Raw genomic sequence first — 23014 nt, forward strand, 5'->3', positions numbered from 1 at the left:
AAATTTGCCATTTTCAAGTTCACAACTCAGTTGCATTAAGCACATTTACAATGTTGTGTAACCATCATCACTATTTCCAGAACATTTTCATCATCACCAGAAGCTCTGTACCCATTAAACAATAGCATGCCATTTCCCCCAACCTCGTGTAACCACTAGCCTATTCTCTGTCTCTATGAAATTGTCTATTCTGTGTATGCTTTTAATTCTTTAAACTTGTTAATATTTGTTTTATGGTCCAGAGTATGGTCTATTTTGGTTAATGTCCCATGTACATTTGGAAAGATTGTGTAGTCTGTTGATGTTGGGTAAAATGTTGTTAAAAAAAAAGCTAATATGGTCAACTTAATTGATAGTATTGTTCTCTTATATCCTACTAATTTTTAATTAAATTCTTCTATTGATTTCTGAGAAAGAAGTGTTGATGTTTACATGTATAAATGCAGATTTCTTTATTTTTCCTTTAGTTCTTTTAGCTTTTGTTTCATATATTTTGAAGCCCTGTTGTTAGGTGCACACACATTTAGGATTATTACCTCTTTAATGAGTTACACATTTTAATTATGTAATGTTCCTCTTTATTCATAATAATGCAGGTTGAGCATTCCTAATCTGAAAATCTGAAATTCAAAGTGCTCCAAAATCTGAAACTTTTGGAGTGCTGACATGACACCACAAATGGAAAATTCCACACTTGACTCCATGGATGGGTTGCAGTCAGAACATAGGAGTACAACCCAGTCTATTCAGATGCCTCCTCATCCCTAGAGGACCCACTTGCTGGTCTCTTGACTGCTTCTAATGTTTCTTCTCACCTAAAAAAAAAAAATACAATGTACAGTTACCTTTTAGTCAAAACACAGCATGGTGGGTTGAGATTGAAATCCTGCCGCTGTTTTTCATGCTGTTGTTTAACAGCTGATCCAAGTATTCTGGTGGTGCTGCTGTGCTGTTTTGTTACCCTGCACACATTATTTTTTCGACATTAGTGATATGTCATATCATTTTCAGTATTAATGATATGTCTTTTTTTTTTTTTTACTATTAGGTACTCATGTGTGAATAAGTGTAAGAAAATGATTGTTTATCGGTAGCATATGAGTTCAGAGTCAGGAATGATGGTGACGCCAAACCACTACAGATCATCCACATGGGTGGCTACAGTAGGGGCACCTTTGATTTCTGATGGTTCAGTGTATCCAACTTTGTTTCATGAACAAAATTATTTAAAATATTGTATTGGGCCGGGCGCGGTGGCTCTTGCCTATAATCCCAGCACTTTGGGATGCCAAGGCATGCAGATCACCTGAGCTCAGGAGTTTAAGACCAGCCTGGCCAACATGGAGAAACCCTGTCTGTACTAAAAATACAAAAAATCAGCTGGGCATGGTGGTGTGTGTCTGTAGTCCCGCCTACTTGGGAGGCTGAGGCAGGAGAATTGCTTGAGCCCAGGAGGCGGAGGTTGAAGTGAGCTGAGATGGCACCACTGCACTCCAGCCTGGGTGATAGAGTGAGACTTCATTTCAAAAAAATAAAAATAAAATAAAATAAAATATTGTATTAAATTACCTTCATTCTATGTATATAATGTGTATATGAAACATAAATGAATTTTATGCTTAGATTTGGGTCCTATGCCCAAGATATCTCATTATGTGTATGTGTATATTACAAAATCTGAAAAAAATACAAAATACAAAATCTGAAACATTTCTTGGACCAAGCACTTCGGAGAAGGGATGTTCAAACTTTACTTCTTTTTCCAAATCTCCTTTAATATAAGCTATCCAGATTCGTGAACTGGAAGTACTCCATCTCACATTCCCCAGTCACATATCTTAATCTAATTTAGTCAGAAACTACAGTGGTTTACATGTTTCTAAAAACAGAACTATTTGACTTGCACAACAAGTGGAGAGCTGTGTAGTGACTGAAACGTATAACCTCCAAATACAAGGAATTTTCACATTAGCAAAAGAGAAAAATTTTAGAAATCATTCTATGGCGGTTAGGGGGAATCATAGATTGAAGTTTGAAATCCTATATGAAACCCTCTGTTGTGTTTTTCCTTGCATTTTAGGACCTCTAGCCTGCTTTCTTGTCTTATACTTCTTGGAAACTAATGTTCTCCCAGCAAACATCAATAGGACTACCAGAGTGACCCCTAATGCCAGAGTACACACACTCCCACTCCCTAAATGCCATCCTAAATTCCTGAGGGAGCCAGGATCAACTGGTATCTATTTCTGGACCTCAGGATAGTGCAGAGTTTTGTTAGGGTGTTTTTAGTCCTAACAAGGCAGCATAAGCCAGCATAGCTTGCTGTGTAATTGGGGTAGGAAATAGTATCCCTCGCTACTTATTCATGACTGTTATTTTCTTTAAAAAACACACACATACACACTTTTATTTGTTTATTTTAGAGACAGGGTCTTACTCTGTTGCCCAGGCTGAAGTGCAGTGGTGCCATCACAGCTCGCTACAGCCTTGACCTCTCGGGCTCAGGTGTTCCTCCTGCCTCAGTCTCCCTAGGTGCTGGTGCCACCATGCCCGGGTAGTTGTGTGTGTGTGTGTACAATCCTTCCACCTCAGCCTCCTGTCTAAAAAAACTTAAAAACAAAAACAAAAAAACCCAATGCTACAAATCAGAAAACAGCCCTTACTGCTAAAGAAAGAGAACACTGTCTTTGGTGAGATTTGGCAGAAATATTAAATGATGAAAATGGGGAGTACCTCTTCTGAGTCTCAAATTTCTCTTCTGGCATATGTGGATTATAATGCTTCCTGCAGGGAATTGTTCTGAGAAATAAGATAATTGATTGGAAAAAATTTAATAAACTACAACATTCTAAGTAAATGTTATTAATGTTGTTTTTTATATGCACCAATATGATTTATCACCTTAATAATTTAGTTTTAATTGAAAAAGTTGACATGTTTATTTGGCTTATATTTCTTTCCAATTGCTTGTTTCCTTTATGAAGAGAGGCAGTTGGCATTTCAGTAAATTATTTTTAAAAGTCCTTTATCCTTTATATTTTTTCCTCTGCTTTCTATTTTCAACAAGATGATCAAATCCATCCACATTATTTTCTATGTAGCCATGTTTATTTAGAGGTATTTTAAGTACACAAAATATTTCCACGAATATACATGGTACATCTTATCTTTTAAAGACTAAATTTGAGAAGGTAAAAATCTTTGCTCCACTATTTCTAAAATATATTGCCCCTAGATACCAGTGTTGAAGTTCTCAGAATTCATATTTAATCATCACTGTAGCTCAAAATATATATATATAAGATATATATGTATATATATAAGATATATATGTATATATATAAGATATATATGTATATATATAAGATATATATGTATATATATAAGATATATATGTATATATATAAGATATATATTATATATAAGATATATATGTATATATAAGATATATATGTGTATATATAAGATATATATGTATATATAAGATATATATGTGTATATATCTTATATATATGTATATATAAGATATATATGTGTATATATAAGATATATATGTGTATATATAAGATATATATGTATATATATGATATATATGTATATATATATAAGATATATATATATGTATATATACACTGCTGCAGACAAGGCCAGTTGCAGATATAGCCTCACTGTGTAACTTGTCTATGCAAAACATAGTTATAAAGTCTGTATGCACTGGGTGCGGTGGCTCATGCCTGTAATCCTAGCACTTTGGGAGGCTGAGGCAGGCAGATTGCCTGAGCTCAGGAGTTCCAGACCAGCCTGAGTAACATGGTGAAACCCTGTCTCTACTAAAATACAAAAAATTAGCCAGGTGTGGCGGCACATGCCTGTAGTCCCAGCTACTTGGCAGGTTGAAGCAGGAGAATCACTTGAACCTGGGAGGCAGGGGTTGCAGTGAGCCGAGATCATGCCACTGCACTCCGTCTCCAAAATAATAATAATAAGAAGAAGAAATAATAAAGTCTGTATATAAAGTATATGTGTTTTTTTGAAGTATGTGAGGTTGACAAAAATAATTAAAACAAATTATATTTTAAGATAGTTTATTATCCAGGCATGGTAGCTCATGCCTATAATCCCAGCACCCTGAGAGGCCAAGGCGGGTGGATTGCTTGCAAATATGAAGAGTAGGAGATTTTCAGTTATTTGATTTTCTCAATTGCTTGCACTCCAAATAAATAGGAGTTTTGCACATTTTGCATTAAACAGGCAAGTGGGACAGGAAGAAATACATTCATAGTGATGAAGGATTGGCGTTTGTGAAAGATAGAAACACGAAGAAATAAACACATAAGTTTACAAACTATTCATATTTATAAATATGAGAATTCATATTCCAGTTTCGGAATGGATATCAGTATTCATTATTCCGTTGCTCTCTATTAAAAACTAATGACCAGATTTTTAAACTGAAGCACTCCAAAAGATTTAAAATGTTAATTAAAAGAACTTTTTATGTTTTTTGTAATTAAAAGACAAATATAGGTATTTCACTAAGACATTTATTTTAAACTTCATAACTTAAATGGAATAAAACATCAGAGTGAGTTGTTGGATGAATATAATCCTAATAGTTAATATTTATAATTCTAATGACTATTTATTATATTTATCAAGATTTAGTAAAGCCTATGTGCCTTGTACAGTTCTAGATTTTATCTGATTATCTCATTTTACTTAAGATAATCCACTGACATATCTCAATTTTACAGATAAAGATGATGAGCCTCAGAATATGAATTAACTTGTGCCATGTCAGGAACTAGATATGTGACAGAACATAATTTTTTTTTTTTTTTTTTTTTTTTTTTTTTTTGAGACGGAGTCTCGCTCTGTCGCCCAGGCTGGAGTGCAGTGGCGCGATCTCGGCTCACTGCAAGCTCCGCCTCCCGGGTTCACGCCATTCCCCTGCCTCAGCCTCCCGAGTAGCTGGGACTACAGGCGCCCGCTACCACGCCCGGCTAATTTTTTGTATTTTTTTAGTAGAGACGGGGTTTCACCGTGTTAGCCAGGATGGTCTCGATCTCCTGACCTCGTGATCCGCCCGCCTCGGCCTCCCAAAGTGCTGGGATTACAGGCGTGAGCCACCGCGCCCGGCCGACAGAACATAATTTTAACTTGGGTCTCTGACTTCATAATCTGTGAATTTCCATGTGTTTGTGTGTATTCATGTGTGTGTGAATATACAAGTAAAGAATTTGTATTATTTTTAATTGTATTAAAAGAGGAAGCTAGGAAGATATTCCCTTCTCTGGTATCAAATATAAACCACCAAAGACTTATACTTTTAAGGGATTTTAAAAAACATATGGTGTATATATTCACATTGTATACCTCATGAGTATATCTATTTTTTTGGTGTTTTTTTGCCCCCTTGACAGAATATGGCTCTTTTATTTTAATAGAAGTATGTTATTCTTCTACATTAATCCTTCTACAGCATCTATTATAATACATGATAGAAGTATGAAAAATTTTGAAAATCTGAAGCATCTCTGTGTGGCTAAGAAATCAAGTTTAGACATGCTGTAAAGCACCCTAAATGACTCACAAATAGCAGTTTTAAATTCATTTTGACATTTTAACATTTCATTTATTTATTTATTTTTAACCAACCTGGAAGATTGGAACTATTTCATTTATTTTAAGGGATAGGGTCTTTCTATATTGCCCAGGATGGAATGCAGTAGCTATTCACAGCCACGATCATTGCTCTCTACACCCTTGAACTCCTGGGCTCAAGTGATCTTACTGATTCAGCCTCTGGGTAGCTGGGACTGCAGGCGTGTGCCACGGTGCCCATTAATATTTTATTTTTATTAAAACTATACATTTATCTAATTTTTAAGGTCAAATAGCTTTATGGGGCTTAAATAAAAAATAGTGGTCTTTAGATCCATCCTAGAGTAGCCCTGATAATGTGCCTCTCATTTCTCCAACAGCAGGGAACATAATTGACAGTCTACTGTGGGCTCTGAAATCCATTGCTGCCATGCACACTGGGGCCATTCTTCCTACAGGCTGCTCCTAACTAACAACTGAGTATAACAGACATACTAAGGAAGGCTCATTCCTGGAAGACAGGGCTCCTCTGGCCAATAGCTTTAGTTCAAGGATTTTGCAATGTGCTTGCTGACCTTTCTTTAGATTTTGATTACAGACTATGAAACTTCTCTCCTTCACTCACATAGGCATGCACAGAGGTCTGATGGCTCTCCAAGCCTCCCTCAGCTTCCTGTTTATGTTCTCTCACATCTAATTCCTTCTTGGCATATGCTTCTTAAAGGACCTGGATTAATATACACCCTGCACATAATTTTTGGTTAGCAATATACAGTATTTAAACTGTGTTAATTATTCACATCTAATTTATGGTGTATTATGATTGCACTTTTCATAATTCTTTGCCTTTCTTCTAGTTAATTATTGCCTTGCTTATTTGCTTAATTTTCTGTATACCTATATTATATTATTTCTTTCCTGATAAATTCACACACATTGATTTATCTATAAATTTCAACTTTTCCTTGGAGACATCCCTCTTTAAGCCTGCTATCCTCCTACTTCCATTTGGACTAATTTCCATTATGCCTAGTGAACTCTAATCATCATCTGCCTGGTAATTTTCTTTGTCTCTTTTCTATGAAACTTGTATGATCGAAAACATCTTTACTTTCCTCTTCTTCCACTTGACTGTTGCTTTGGCTGGGTATAAAATGTTAATTTAGAAGTAATTCTCCCTCAGATTTTTGAGGGCATGCTCCATTGTCTTCTACCATCCAAGGTTACTGTTGAGAAGTCCAGTGCTATTCTGATTTTTTTTGAGACAGAGTTTCACTCTTGTCACCCAGGCTGGAGTGCAATGGCACGATCTCGGCTCACTGAAACCTCCGCCTCCTGGGTTGGCCAGGCTGACCAGGAGGGTTGGCCTCCTGACCTCAAGTGAGCCACCCACCTTGGCCTCCCAAAGTGCTGGGATCACAGGCATGAGCCACTGTGCCCAGCCCTATTCTGATTCTTGACGCTTTTGTTTTTCAATTCTCTGGAAGATTTTAGGATTTTTTTCTTTGTCCTCATTGTTTTAAAATTTAACAAGGTTGTCCCTTGATCTGGATGTTTTGCTTCCTTTATAAGTGGCTCCATTGGCCTTCTTATATTGTGTTTTGCTTTTTAACAGACTTTATTTTTTAGAGCAGTTTTACTCTTTTATTTATTTTTTATTTTATTTTATTTTTGAAATGGAGTATGCCTCTGTCGCCCAGGCTGGAGTACGGTAGTGCAATCTCGGCTCACCACAACCTCCGCCTCCCGGGTTCAAGCAATTCTCCTGCTTCAGCCTCCTGAGTAGCTGGGATTACAGGCGCCCGCCACCATGCCCAGCTAATTTTTTTTGTATTTTTAGTTAAGATGGGGTTTCACCATATTGGCCAGGCTGGTCTCGAACTCCTGACCTTGTGATCCGCCTGTGTCGGCCTCCCAAAGTGCTGGGATTACAGGCATGAGCCACCGCGCCCGGCCAGAACAGTTTTATATTCACAACAAAATTGAGCAAAAAGTACAGAGGGTTCCCTTGTACCCCTTCCACTCCCCAACATACACAGCCTCCCCCACTATCAACATTCCACACCAGAATGGCACATTTGTTAACAATCAATGAACATACATTTACGCATCATCAGCCATAGTTTACATTAAGGTTCACTCAATTTTTTATGTTCTATGGAATTTAAAAAATGTATGACATGTAGCCACCATTTTAGTATCATACAGAATAATTTCACTGCCCTATAAATCTTCTGTACTCTGCCTATTTATTATTCCCTCCCCACAAACCCTTGGCAACCGTCAATCTTTTCTATTATCTCCATAGTTTTGCCTTTTCCAGGATGTCGTATAATTGAAATCAAATAGTATGTAGCCTTTTTAGATTGTTGGCTTCTTTTGCTTAGTAATATGCATTTAAGTTTCCTCTCTCTATCTCTATCTATCTATATATACTTTTTTTTTTTTTTTTGAGATGGGGTTTTGCTCTTGTTGCCCAGGCTGGAGTGCAATGGAGCCATCTCGGCTCACCACAACCTCTGCCTCCCAGGTTCAAGCAACTCTCCTGCCTCAGCCTCCCGAGTAGCTGGGATTATAGGCATGCACCACCATGGCCGACTAATTTTATAGTTTTAGTAGAGGCGGGGTTTCTCCATGTTGGTCAGGCTGGTCTCAAACTCCTGACCTCAGGTGATCCACCCGCCTCGGCCTTCCAGAGTGCTGGGATTACAGGCCTGAGCCACCGTGCCCAGCCTCCTCAATTTTTTTGTTTGTTTTTGTTTTTCAATAGTTGATTTCCCTTTATTTTTTTTAAACAATCTCGCTCTATTACCCAGGCTGGATTGCTGTGGCATGATCCTGGACCATTGCAACCTCTGCCTCCCAGGCTCAAGTGATCCTCCCATCTCAGCCTCCCAAGTAGCTAGGACTGCAGGTGCCACCCTAATGATTTTTGTATCTTTTATAGAGATGGGGTTTTGCCATATTGCCTTGGATGGTCTTGAATTCATGAGCTCAAGCAATCCACCTGCCTCGGCTTCCCAAAGTGCTGGGATTACAGGCATGAGCCACTGCATCCAGCTGTTTTCTTTTTCTTTTTCTTTTTTTTTTTTTTTGAGACAGAGTCTTGCTCTGTCGCCCAGGCTGGAGTGCAGTGGCGCAATTTCGGCTCACTGCAACCTCCGCCTCCTGGTTCAAGAGATTCTCGTGCCTCAGCCTCCTAAGTAGCTGGGAGCCCCACCATGCCCGGCTAATTTTTTTGTGTTTTTAGTAGAGACAGGGTTTCACCATGTTGGCCAGGCTGGTCTGAAACTCCTGACCTCAGGTGATCCACCCGCCTCGGCCTCCCAAAGTGCTGGGATTACAGGCGCGAGCCACCTGGCCTGGCCTTCTTTTTCTTTTTATCACTGAATAATATTCCTGTGTCTGGACATACCAGTTTACTTATCCATTCACCTACTGAAGGATCTCTTGGTTGCTTCCAACTTTTGATAATTATGAATAAAGTTGCAATAAACATCTGTGTGCAAGCTTTTGTGTGGACGTAAGTTTTCAACCTATTTGGGTAAATACTAAGGAGCACAGTTACTGGATTGTATGGTAAGAGTGTGTTTAGCTTTATAAGAAACTACCAAACTGTCTTCCCAATTGTCTATACCATTTTGTTTTCCCACCAGCAATGAAAGTTCCTGTTGCTCCATATTCTCACCAGCATTTGGTGTTGTGAATTTGGATTTTGGCTCTTTAACAGGTGTATAGAGGTATCTCACTGTTGCTTTAATGTTCATTTTCCTAATAACACATGATGTTTGCACCTTTTAATATGTTTATTTGCCATCTGCATATCTTCTTTGGTGAGGTACCCATTCAGATGTTGTTTGATTTTTGAGACAGGGTCTCACTCTATCACCAAGGCTGGAGTGCAGTAGCATGATCGCTGCTCACTGCAACCTCCACCTCCCAGGCTCAGGCGATCCTCCCACCTCAGCCTCCAGAGTAGCTGGGACTGCAGGTGAGCGCCACCACGCCCGGTTAATTTTCATATTTTTCTAATAGAGACAGGGTTTCACCATGTTGCCCAGGCTCGTGTTGAACTCTTGGCCTGAAGTGATCCACCTGCCTCAGCCTCCCAAAGTGCTGGGATTATAGGCATGAAGCCACCATACCCACCTGGTTCAGGTCTTTTGCTCACTTTTAAATTGAGTTGTTTATTTTCTTATTGTTGAATTTTAATAATTCTTTGTATATTTTGAATATCTGTCCTTTTGCAGGTATTTGTTTTGCAAAGATACTCTCTCAATTTACGACTTACCTTCTCATTCTCTTAACAATACTTTTGCAGGGCAAGGGTCATTAATTTTAGTGAAGTCCATTTTGTCAATTATTTCCTTTGTTGATTGTGCTTTTGGTGTATCTAAAAATCATCATCATATCAAAGGTCATCTAGATTCTGCCCCTCCCCACCACCATTGCCCTGTTATATCTTCTAAGAGTTTTACAGTTTTAGCGTTTTACATTTAGGCCTTTGATCCTTTTTTTTTTTTTAACTGAGTCTCGCTCTGTCACGTAGGCTGGAGTGTAGTGGCGCAATCTAGGCTCACTGCAAGCTCCACCTCCTGGGTTCACGCCATTCTCCTGCCTCAGCCTCCCGAGTAGGTGGGACAACAGGCGCCCACGACCACGCCCCGCTAATTTTTTTGTATTTTTTTAGTACAGACGGGGTTTCACTGTGTTAGCCAGGATGGTCTCGATTTCCTGACCTCGTGATCTGCCCGCCTCGGCCTCCCAAAGTGCTAGGATTACAGGCGTGAGCCACCACGCCTGGCAGTCTTTGATCCATTTTAAGTTTGTGAAAGATGTAAGATACATGTTTACACTCTTTTTTTTTAACATGTGAATATTCAGCTGTTTCAGCACCATTTGTTGAAAAGACTATTCTTTCTTTATGGAATTGTCTTTGCTCCTTTGTCAAAGATCAGCTGACTATAAGGATTATTTCTGGGCTCTCTGTTCTCTTCTGTTTATCTATCTGTCTGTTCTTTCACCAGTACCAACCTGTCCTGATTATTGTAGCTTTATAGTGAGTCTTCACTGGTGTTTTGGTTCATTTACATTTAATGTAATTACTGTTATTTTAGGACTTAAATCTACCATTTTATTTTTTGTTTATTTTTATTTTTGTTTCTCTTTTTTAATTCTTTCCCTATAGGTTACTTGAACATTTTTTAAAATTCCATTTTTATTTATCTGTGGTATGTTTAGTCCCAGATGAAGAAATCGCTTTTTAAAATTAATTTTTGATACATAATAGTTGCACTTATCTGTGGGGTACATGTGATATTTTGATCATGTATACGATATGTAATGATCAAATCAGGGTGTGCAGGATATCCATCGCCTTAAGCACTTACTGTTTCTTTGAGCTAAGAACATTTCAAATCTGTTCTTCTAGCTATTTTGAAATATACAACATATTATTAACTATAGTCACCTTACTGTGCTATTGAACAGTAGAGCTTATTCTTTCTATCTAATGGTATGTTTGTACCCATCAACCATCTCTTCATACCCTTCTCCACTTTTCCCAGCCTCTGGAACTATCATACTACTCTCTACATCCATGATATTAACATTTTTAGCATCCATATATGAGTAAGAACATGTGATATTTATCTTTCTCACCCTGGCTTATTTCATTTAACATAATGATTATCCATGTTGCTGCAAATAATAAGATTACATTCTTTTTATGGCTAAATGGCATTTCATTGTGTATATATATATCACATTTTCTTTATCCATTTATCTGTTGATGAACACTTAGGTTGAATCTATATCTCAGCTATTATGAATAGTGCTGCAATAAACGTGGGGGTACAGTTATCCCTTTGACATACTGATTTCCTTTCCTTTGATAAATATCCAGTAGCGAGATTGCTGGATCATATGTAGTTCTATTTTTAGTTTTTTTGAGAAACCTCCATATTGTTTTCCATAGTAACTGTACGAATTTGCATTCCCACCAACAGTGTATAAGAATTCTCTTTTCTGGCCAGGTGCAGTGGCTCACACCTGTAATCCCAGCACTTTGGGAGGCTGAGGCGGGCAGATCACGAGGTCAGCAGTTCAAGACCACCCTGGCCAACATGGGGAAACCCCATCTCTACTAAAAATACAAAAATTAGCCAGGCATGGTGGTGCATGCCTGTAATCCCAGCTACTAGGGAGGCTGAGGCAGGAGAATCACTTGAACTGGGAAGGCAGAGGTTGCAGTGAGCCAAGACGGTGCCATTGCACTCCAGCCTGGGCGACAGAGCGAGACTCAGTCTCAAAAAAAAAAAAATTCCCTTTTCTTCACACACTAGCCAGCATTTGTTACTTTTTGACTTTTTAACCTGGGTGAGATTATATGTCATTGTGATTTTGATTTGCATTTATCTGATGATTAGTAATATTGAGCATTTTTTATATACCTGTTGGCTATTTGTATGTCTTCCTTTGAGAAATGTCTATTCAGATCCTTTGCCTCTTTTTAATTAAATTATTATTATTATATGTTGTTATTTTGCTGTTGAGTTGTTCGAGTTCCTTGTATATTCTGGATATTAATCCCTTGTCAGATAAATAGTTTGCAAATATTTTCTCCCATTCTACAGGATGTCTTTTCACTCTGTTGACTATTTATTTGCTATTCAGAACTGTTTTACTTAATATAGTCTCATTTGTCTATTTTTGTTTCTGTTGCCTATAGTTTTGAAGTCTTAGTCACAAAATTTTTGCCTAGATCAATATCCTGAAGCATTTTCCCTATGCTTTCTTCTAGTAGTTTTACAGTGTCATGTTGTACATTAAAATCCATTTTTATTTTTTTATATGGTGAGAGACAGGGAATCTACTTTCATTTTTCTGCATATGGATATCCAGTTTTCCCAGCACCATGTATTAAAGAGGGTATCTTTTCCCCATTGAAGGTTCTTCGTGCCTTTGTCAAAAATTAGTTGACTGTAAATGTGTGGATTTTCTGGATTTTCTATTCTGTTCCATTGGTTTATGTGTCTGTTTTTAATGCCAGCACCATGCTGATTTGGTTACTATAGACTTGTAGTATATTTTTAAGTCAGGTAATATGATGCCTCCAGCTTTATTCTTTTTACTTAGTATTGCTTTGGCTATTTGGGCTCCATACAAATTTTAGGATTGTTGTTTCTATTTCTGTGAAGAATATCATTGGTATTTTGATGGTGATTACATTGAATTGTAAATTGCTTTGGGTAATATGATTATTTTAACAATATTAATTCTCCCATTCCATGAGCATGTGTCCTTTTTAATTGTTTTCATTAGTGTTCTATAATTTTCATTGTAGAGGTCTTTAACCTCCTTGGTTAAATTTATTCCTAGCTACTTAATTTTTGTTTCAGCTATTGTAAATGGGGCTGCCTTCTTGATTTCTTTTATAGCTAGTTCATTATTGGTGTATAGAAATGCTACTGATTCTTGGCGAGGCACGGTGGCTCACGCCTGTAATCCCAGCACTTTGAGAGGCCGAGGAGGGTGGATCACCTGAGGTCAGGAGTTCAAGACCAGCGTGGCAACCATGGCAAAACCCCGTCTCAACTAAAAATACAAAAATTAGCTGGGCGTGGTGCCGCGTGTCTGTAATCCCAGCTACTCAGGAGGCTGAGGCAGTAGAATCACTTGAACCCAGGAAGCAGAGGTTGCAGTGAGCTGAGATTGGGCCACTGCACTCCAGCCTGGGTGACAGAGTGAGACTCTGTCTCAAAAAAAAAAAAAAAGAAAAGAAATGCTACTGATTCTAGTGTGCTGATTTTGTATTCTGCAACTGTACTGAATTTGTTCATCAGCTCAAAAGAGTTTTTGGTGGAGTCTTTGGATTTTTCTATATATAAGATCATGTTTTCTGCAAAGAGGCAATTTGACTTCCTCTTTTCCAATTTGGTTGACTTTTATTTCTTTCTCTTGCTTGATTACTCTGGCAAGGACTTAAAATACTATGTTGAATAAATGTAGTGAAAGTGGACATTTTTGTCTTGTTTCAGTTCTTGATGGAAAGGCTTTCAGCTTTTTCCCATTCAGCACGATGTTAGCTGTGAGTTTGTCATATATGACCTTTATTATTTTGAGGTATGTTCTTTCTATGCCTAATTTGTTGAGAGTTTTTATCATGAAGGGATGTTGAATTTTATCAAGGCCTTTTCTGTGTCTACTGAGATGATCATATGGCTTTTGTCCTTCATTCTTTTGATGTGATGTATCACAGTTATTGATTTGCATATGTATTGATAATGCATTGATTTGCATATCATCCTTGCATCCCTGGGATAAATCTCACTCAATCCTGGTGTATCATCTTTTTAATGTGTTGTTGGATTTGGTTTGCTAGTATTTTGTTGAGGGTGTTTGCATCTACGTTCATCAGGAATATTGGCTTGTAGTTTTTTGTTATTGTGTCCCTGTCTGGTTTTAGTGCCTGGGTAATGCTGGTCTTGTGAATGAGTTAGGAAGAGAACTACCTCCTCTTCAAGTTTTTGGAATACTTTGAGAAAAATTGTTGTTAATTTTTTATAACTTTGGTAAAATTTTCATAACTTTGGTAGACTTTTTATTACTAATTCAATCTTGTTACTTGTTATTGGATTTTTCAGGTTTTCTATTTCTTCCTGGTTGAATCTTGATAGGTTGTATGTGTTCAGGAATTTATTCATTTCCCATCGATTTTCCAATTTATTACCATATAGTTATTCATAATAGTTTAATGATCCTTTGTATTTTTGTGGTATCAGTTATAATGCCTCCTTTTTTGTTTCTGATTTTATTTATTTGGAAATTCTTTCTTGTCTTGGTTAGTCTAGCTAACAGCTTATCGATTTTACTTATTTTTTCAAAAAAACAACTTTTAATTTCATTGATCCTTTGTATTGGTTTTTAGTCTCTATGTGGTTTAGTTTTTCTCTGATCTTTATTATTTCTTTCCTTCTTATAATTTGGGGTTTGGTTTGTTCTTGCTTTTCTAGCCCCTTGAGGTGCATTGTTGGTTGTTTATGTGAAACCTTTTTACTTTTTTGATGTAGGTATTTATTGCTGCCTACATCAAAAAGGTATTTATTGTTACCTGTTCTTAGTGCTACTTTTAATGTATCCCATAGGCTTTGGTATGTTGTGTTTCCATTTTCATTTGTTTCAAGAAATTTTTTGACTTCTGTTCAGGAACATGTCATTTAATTTCCATTATTTGTACACTTTTCAAAGGTCAGCTTTTAATTGGTTTCTATTTTTATTCCATTGTGATCTGAGAAGATGCTTGATATGATTGCTGTGATTTTGATTTTAAAAATTTGTTGAGACTTGTTTTGCGGCCTAAAATATGCTTTATCTTGGAAAATGTTCCATGTGCTGATGAGAAGAAGGTTCTGCAGCTATAGGATAAAATGTTCTCTAAATGTCTGTTAGGTCCATTTGGTCTAAAGTCCAGTTTAAATCCAATCTTTCTTTCTTGACTTTCTTTCCCATCTCGGCTTCCCAAAGTGCTGGGATTACAGGCGTGAGCCACTGCACCTGGCCTCTTTCAGCACTTTGAGTATATCATCCCATTCTCTCTTAGCCTGTAAGGTTTTTGCTTAGAAATCCAGTTAGTCTAATAAGGATTCCCTTATATGTAACTTGATGCTTTTCTCTTGCTCTTTTTAGAATCCTTTCTTTGTCTTTGACTTTTGACAGTTTGACTATAATATGCCTTAGAGAAGACCTTTGGGGATTGAATCTATCTGGAGATATTTGAGCTTTCTGTATCTAGATGTCTAGATCTCTTGCTTGACTTGGGAAGTTTCAGCTATTATTTCATTAAATGGGTTTTCTATGACTTTGCCTATCTCTTCTCTTTTTGGAACCTCCAAAATTAAAATATTTGGTCACTTTATAATGTCTCGTATGTGATGTCATGTAGGCTTTCTTCATTTCTTCTTCTTCTTGACTAGGTTATTTAAAAAAAAAAACTGTCTTCAAGGTTAGAAATTCTTTAAATTTTTCTGCATAATCTAATCTATTGTTGAAGCACTTAGTTGTATTTTTTATTTCATTCATTAAACTCTTTAGTTCCAAGATTTCTGTTTGGTTCTTTTTCATGATATCCATTTATTTGTTCAATCTCTCATTTAGATCATTAATTGTTTACTTCATTTCTTTGTATTGTTTATCTATGTTCTCTTGTATCTCAATGTTTCTTTAATATCATTATTTTGAATTCTTTTTCAAGTATTTTATAAATTTCCTTTTCGTTGGGATTACTAGAGAATTTTTGTTCTTTCTTTTTTTTGACAGAGTCTCATTCTGTCACCCAGGCTGGAGTACAGTGGCACGATTTCAGCTCACTGCAACCTCTGCCTCCAGGGTTCAAGCAATTCTCATGCCTCAGCCTCCCGAGTAGCTGGGATTACAGGTGCTCACCACGACGCCTGGCTAATTTTTGTATTTTTAGTAGAGGCATAGTTTCGCCATATTGCCCAGGCTGACCTCAAACTCCTGGCCTCAAGTGATCCACCCACTTTGGCCTCCCAAAGTGCTGGGATTCGGGTGTGAGCCATTGTGCCCTGGAGTTCCTTCTCTTTGCAGCCCCAGTACTTTTCTTTGTAAACTCTACAATCCTGGCCTCCTGAGACTCTCAGATCAGAGAGTCTCCTCCACTCAGGAAGACCAATGGGCTCTGTCTGACTAAGTTCCCTCATCCTGAGCCATGGCTAGGAAACTCTCTCTAGGTGGTCTTGAACTCCTGGGCTCAAGTGATCTTCCCACCTTGGCTTCCCAAAGTGCTGGGATTATAGGCCACCATTCCTGGCTGAGAATTATTGTTTTCCTCGGGAGGGGTCACATTTCCTTGCTTTTTCATGTTTCTTTTGTCCTTACATTGATATCTGCACATCTGGTGTAACAGTTTCTTCTTTCAATTTTATCGATTTTCTTTTATAAGAAAAAACTTTTTCCTACAGATGTATCTATAATGTTGGTTGGGTAGGGTGCTTTGGCTTTGATTCTTGGTGGGTGCGGTAGTATAGCTTCCATATGATTTCTATGGCTATGATCAGTGTCAGTGGCATCTTTGAGTTCCTCAGTGATTCGGGCTGTGGTTAATAAAGGCTGTGGTAACGCTTTGCTGAAGATGGGGATGCCAGGTGGTCTAGTCCTCAGGTATCAGTGGTAGTGTCAGTGGCCCAAGCATCACAGCTGGCTGGCATACGTGGGCACTAGTAGTGGCAGTCATGGGTGGGCCAGTCCTTGGGGTTCCACGCAGCTTGCTTTGGTGACAATGGTGGCAGTGGTGGGGTAGGCAGGTGGATGGATCCTCAGGCTACTGGGTAGTATGCATGGCATCAGTCATGGCAGCAGTGATGGCAGGCTAACCCTCAGGCCCCTGAGAAGTACGCGTGGTGTGCCAATGGTGGCAGTGCTGGACTGGGTGGGCCAGTCCCCAAGCCCCCAAGTGGCACATGTGGGTGGGTGCTGCTGGTGATGGTGGCTGCAGGCTAGGTGGGCCAGTTCCTGGGTCCCCAAGAGGTGTGCATGGTCACCAAGCGGCCTATCCCCAGGACCCCAGACAGTGCACACAGGCAGTGGTGGTGAATGGGCTGGGACTGTCTTTAGGCCCTGGAAAGGCATGTGAAAGCACTGGCAGTGGTAGATGGGGTGGGTCAATCCCCAGGCCACTGGATGATACTTATGGGCACTGGCAGTGGCAGCAGTGGGTGAGGCAGCTCTGTCCTCAGGCCCTTGGATCGTGCATGTGGGTGCTTGTGGTAGTAAGGAGTGTGGGTTGATCCCCACGCTCCCAGATGTCATGTACAGATGCTGGCAGAGGTAGGCAGGATGTGTTTATCATCAGGTCACCTGATGGTGTGTATGGGCACCACGCCAGCACTGGCAGGTGGAGTGGACCTGTCCTTAGGCCCTCAGAAAACATCTTCAGGCATAGGTGGCAGTGGGTAGTGTGGACTTGTCCTCAGGCCCCAAAACAGAGCCTGGGTAAGGCAGTCTCCAGGCCCCCTGAAGGTTCACGCAGCCTTGTTGCTGGAGGGAATGGCATTGCTGTCAAGGTTAGTGGCCCTGAACAGGTGGCTCTCAGGCTCTGGGGAACACATGCTTCAGCTTCCTTTATCCTGGGGCCAGTCTCCTTCATGCACTGTACTGCCCATGCCCTAGGGTTTAGGACACTGCATGGGCTAGGAGGCTAGGGACCCAACAGCACTGCTGGGTTCTGCCAGTGTCATGATGCTACAGCCCTCTCGGTGGACATGGAGGGATGTCAACCAAGGCTTCGGGGGCAGGCTTCGGGATATGAAGATACAGGGGCTGCTGGGCCCCAGGACAGGATGTAATCTGGCATGGACTGTGTGCTCAACATCGTACCATGCTGCGGCTGCTTGGGTTTCAGGGAGTGTGTGAGACCCAGCATGAACTCTCCCTCTGGAACAATCCTGTCATGTGAACTCCAGACAGCTACCTATACTAGTCTCAGGGCCCATCAGGGCCAAGGGAATTTCCTGTGGCTAGGATTGCAGGAGTCAATAGTGGGAATTTGGACCTTTGGAGACCTCTCACTTACCTTTTCCCCACAAAGGAGACGTCTTCCTGGCTCCAGGCAGATCCCAGTTGGGCTGGCTGCTTCATTTCCCTCTCTTTGCATGCCTCAGAGATTCCCTGTCATTTCCCTGCTGAATTCCACTGTTCTCTCTTAGGAAATCTGTTCAGTGTGTAATTATCTGCTTAGTGTTCGGGTACTTTTTGGTGGAGGAGGCAAGTGCCAGGCTCTTCTAGTCAGCCATCTTGAAGCCTCCCTCCAGGAATAGCTTTTTAGTGGTTACTCTGGGCATTATATTTTATATATATACAGTTTATCACAGTTTACCCATGTTGACAACTGACTATTCAAATAACGTTTAAAAACCATGCTTTTTGTTTATATCTGCTTAACTTCCCCTGTTTTAAATGCAATTGTGTTAAATCTTTCCTCTACACACCTTTGGCGGTGAGACACCATCCTGGGTAGGCCTGACAAAACCAGAGGAGCCTTTACAAGAAGCATCAGAGAGGCCGGGCACATGGTGGCTCATGCCTGTAATCCCAGAACTTTGGGAGGCTGAGGCAGGCAGATCACTTGAGGCCAGGAGTTCAAGACCAGCTTGGCCAACATGGCAAAACCCTGTCTCTACTAAAAATACAAAAAATTAGTCAGGCATAGTGGCACACGCCTGTAATCCCAGCTACTCGAGAGTCTGAGGCAGGAGAATCTCTTGAACCTGGGAGGCGAAGGTTGCAGTGAGCCGAGATTGACCACTGCACTCCAGCTTGGGTGACAGAGCGAGACTCCCTCTCAAAAAAAAAAGAAAAAGAAAACAGGGACCTTCATTCTACAACTGCAAGGAAGTGGATTCTGTAAAGAATTGAATGATTTGGTAGAGGACTCCAAGCCTCAGATAAGAATCACCACCCTGGCCACACCTTGATTTCAACTTGTTGAGGCCCTGAGCAGAGGAACCAGATAGCCCATACCTGGACTCCTGACCCACAGGAAGTCTGAGACAAATTTTGTGTTGTTTTAAGTGGCTAAATTTGTAACAATTTGTTATGCAGTAATAAAAAACTAATACATGGTTCTTGCTTTAGAGCTTTGTTAGATGGGACTAGAGCAGCATTGAGTCTAGAGCTAATTTTGCCCCACTCTTCAGGCAAAATCTTTCTGTCCAATCCTCTGTGAGTTATGGGGTTTTCCACTGTGGCTATTGGAAAGGAAAGTATTTCCACCAATGTATTAGTTCTAAGAATTATTCCTTCTAATTTTTTTGTTGCTCTTTCCCCAGCCTCAGGTAGTTTCTGTACAGCATGTGTTATTCCGTGCTCAGTCTAAATACTCCAGGGGGAATCTCTTCAGGTCTCTGGAATTCTTTCTGATTTTTTTTTTTTTTTTTTTTTTTTTTTTTTGAGATGGAGCCTCGCTCTGTCACCCAGGCTGGAGTTCAGTGGCACAGTTTTGGCTCACTGCAACCACCACTTCCTGGGTTCAAGCAATTCTCCTGCCTCAGCCTCCCAAGTAGCTGGGATTACAGGCACCCACCACCACACCCAGCCAATTTTTGTACTTTTAGTAGAGACGGGGTTTCACCATGTTGGCCAGGCTGGTCTCAAACTCCTGACTTCTTTTTTTTTTTCTTTAATAGAGATAATAATTATATCTTCCCTTCTTTTTTCTTTTTTCTCTTCTTTTTCTTTTCTTTTCTTTTCTTTTTTTCTTTTGAGACAGAGTCTCGCTCTGTCGCCCAGGTTGGAGTGCAGTGGTGCGATCTTGGCTCACTGCAACCTCCACCTCCCAGATTCAAGCGATTCTCCTGCCTCCGCCTCCTGAGTAGCTGGGACTACAGGCACACACCACCACTCTGGACTAATTTTTGTACTTTTAGTAGAGACGGGGTTTCACCATGTTGGTCAGGCTGATCCGATCTCCTGACCTCGTGATCCACTCACCTCGGCCTCCCAAAGTGCTGGGATTATAGGCATGAGCCACAGCGCTCGGCCTTTTTTTTTTTTTTTTTTTTTTGACAGAGTCTCATTCTGTCACCCAGGCTGGAGTACAGTGGCACGATTTCAGCTCACTGCAACCTCTGCCTCCAGGGTTCAAGCAATTCTCATGCCTCAGCCTCCCGAGTAGCTGGGATTACAGGTGCTCACCACGACGCCTGGCTAATTTTTGTATTTTTAGTAGAGGCATAGTTTCGCCATATTGCCCAGGCTGACCTCAAACTCCTGGCCTCAAGTGATCCACCCACTTTGGCCTCCCAAAGTGCTGGGATTCGGGTGTGAGCCATTGTGCCCTGGAGTTCCTTCTCTTTGCAGCCCCAGTACTTTTCTTTGTAAACTCTACAATCCTGGCCTCCTGAGACTCTCAGATCAGAGAGTCTCCTCCACTCAGGAAGACCAATGGGCTCTGTCTGACTAAGTTCCCTCATCCTGAGCCATGGCTAGGAAACTCTCTCTAGGTAAACTGGGATAATCATAGGGCTCATCTTACTTGTTTTCCATCTTGCACCGATCACTGTCCTCTGTTACCCATGTCTAATATCTTCAAACCATTGTTTCATATATTTTGTCTGTTTTTTTTTTTTTTCCAGTTGTTTCAGGTGGGAGGATAAATCTGTTTCCTGTTACTCCATCTTGGCTGGAATCAGAATTCCAATGCCATGCTAAGTACTTTTAAATCTTCTTTTCTTTGCTTATACTGTTATCTCTTCTAGAACATCCACTTGGTGAACTTTTTTTAAGGTCCCAAGGCCAGGTCAAATGTTACCTCCTCTATATATCTTAATCCTGATCTCTAGGAAGAAATAACCATTCCCTTCTTTGTGCTCCCATGGAATTTATTGTATTATATTTCTACTATAATATGTGTCACATTTTATCCCAATTGATTGGTTAAGATGTCTGACTTTCCTGTTGGAATGTGAAAGAAAATGGATTTCTATTCTGCTGACATTGTATGGATCTCAACAAATCAGACCTGTGCTAAGACTGGGACTATACAATGATGAAAAGATATGTTTCCTACTGTATTAGTCAGGGTTCTTCAGAGAAACAGAGCCAATAGAATATATCTTTGTGAATCCATATAAGAAGAAATGTAATTTTTTTTTTTTTTTGAGACAAAGTCTCACTCTGTCGCCCAGGCTAGAGTGCAGTGGCACTATCTCGACTCACTGCAACCTCCGCTTCCTGGGTTCAAGCGATTCTTCTGCCTCAGCCTCCCGAGTAGCTGAGACTACAGGCACATGCCACCATGTCCGGCTAATTTTTATATTTTTTTAGTAGAAACGGGGCTTCACCATATTGGCCAGGCTGATCTCGAACTCCTGACCTTGTGATCTGCCCGCCTCGGCCTCCCAAAGTGCTGGGATTGCAGGCATGAGCCACTGCACCCGACCGTTGTTTTTTGTTTTTTGTTTTTTGAGATGGAGTCTCGCTCTGTCGCCCAGGCTGGAATGCAGTGGCAGGATCTTGGCTCACCACAGCCTCTGCCTCCAGGGTTCCAGTGATTCTCCTGCCTCAGCCTCCCGGGTAGCTGGGCATACAGGCATGTGCCACCATGCACGGCTAATTTTTCTATTTTTAGTGGAGACGGGGTTTCTCCATGTTGGTCAGGCTGGTCTCCATCTCCCGACCTCAGGTTATCTGCCCACCTTGGCCTCCCAAAGTGTTGGGATTACAGGCGTGAGCCACTGCACCTGGCTGAAGAAATGTATTATAAGGAATTGGCTTATGTGATTATGGGCACTGAGAAGTCCCATGATCTGCCATCTACTAGCTGGAAACCCAGGAGAGCCAGTGGTGTAGTTCAAAGATCCTGAGTGCCAGTAAGACGGTGATGTAGATTCCAGACCAGATTCGAAGGCCTGAGAATCAGGAGCACTGATGGCAGGGGAAGATCAATGTCCTAGCCTAAGGAGTCAGAGAGTGAATTCAACCTTCCACCACAATTTTGTTCTATTCAGGTCCTCAACAGATTAGCTGATGCCCACCCACAATGGGGAAGGCCATCTGCTTCGTTGAGTCCACTTATTCCAATGCTAATCTCTCCAGATATACCCTCATACACACCCAGAAATAATGCTTAACCAGCTGCCTGGGCATCTCGTATCCCAGTCAAGCCATCATATAAAATTAACCATCTCACCTTCCTTTAAGGAATGAATAGACTAGGGAGAGAGCATCCTTTTAGACCAATAAGCCATCACAATGTCATAAGAGACCAGTCTGTATGAGATGCTGTGCACCGTGTGTAGGAAGAAATATCACAATTTTGTTTCATCTAAAAATGAGGGCTAATTAGGAATCTAAAGTAGGAAGGTATAGGTAAAAGGCTGGCTATAAGAAATTCTACTTGAATAAAAAAATGGGTGGAAATACAGGGAGATACAGAGAACATGGTGTGTTTGAGGAAGGGCAACTAATTTTAGCATGGCTAGTTCAATGCAGTTGTCTTTATTCATTTGCATGTGTAAATGATCAGAAAAACTAACCCAAAGTCACTTCATTCCTTAATATTTATTGAGTGCCTACTCTATGTCATGTTCTGCTAAGTTCTTAGGCTGCAATGATGAGTAAAATGAGGTCCAGTCCCTGCTCCTATGTAGCTAAATAGTCAACATCAATTGCTGAAGGCCCAAAAGAGATGGCATATGTAGAACAAAATAGCATCCAGTTATCAAGGCAGGCAAGTAAGTTCTTACGATGAAAACATATGAGGCAGACATTCCAAATGAAATTTTTTCAGCACATTATTAGTTCACTTCTCATCACAAGTGACCTAGGCATCTGCTCTGTGCTCAGGGAATGCAAACTAATGCTAATATTAGCCACATCAACAAATAGAAAT

The 23014-nt window shown here is 40.1% G+C and overlaps 1 long non-coding RNA gene across 1 annotated transcript in view; it reads right to left on the reverse strand.

Moving 5' to 3' along the window:
• Positions 1-555: 555 nt before the first annotated feature.
• The window catches only part of LOC107985161 (uncharacterized), a 39761-nt gene continuing 17302 nt past the window's right edge, over positions 556-23014 (reverse strand). Inside the window, exon 3 of the long non-coding RNA XR_001753365.2 lies at positions 556-815. This is a non-coding gene — a long non-coding RNA (uncharacterized LOC107985161). The remainder of the gene's footprint in view (positions 816-23014) is intronic.

The sequence above is a fragment of the Homo sapiens genome, chromosome 18, assembly GCF_000001405.40.
Source record: "Homo sapiens chromosome 18, GRCh38.p14 Primary Assembly".
In the NCBI taxonomy this organism is placed as follows: domain Eukaryota; kingdom Metazoa; phylum Chordata; class Mammalia; order Primates; family Hominidae; genus Homo; species Homo sapiens.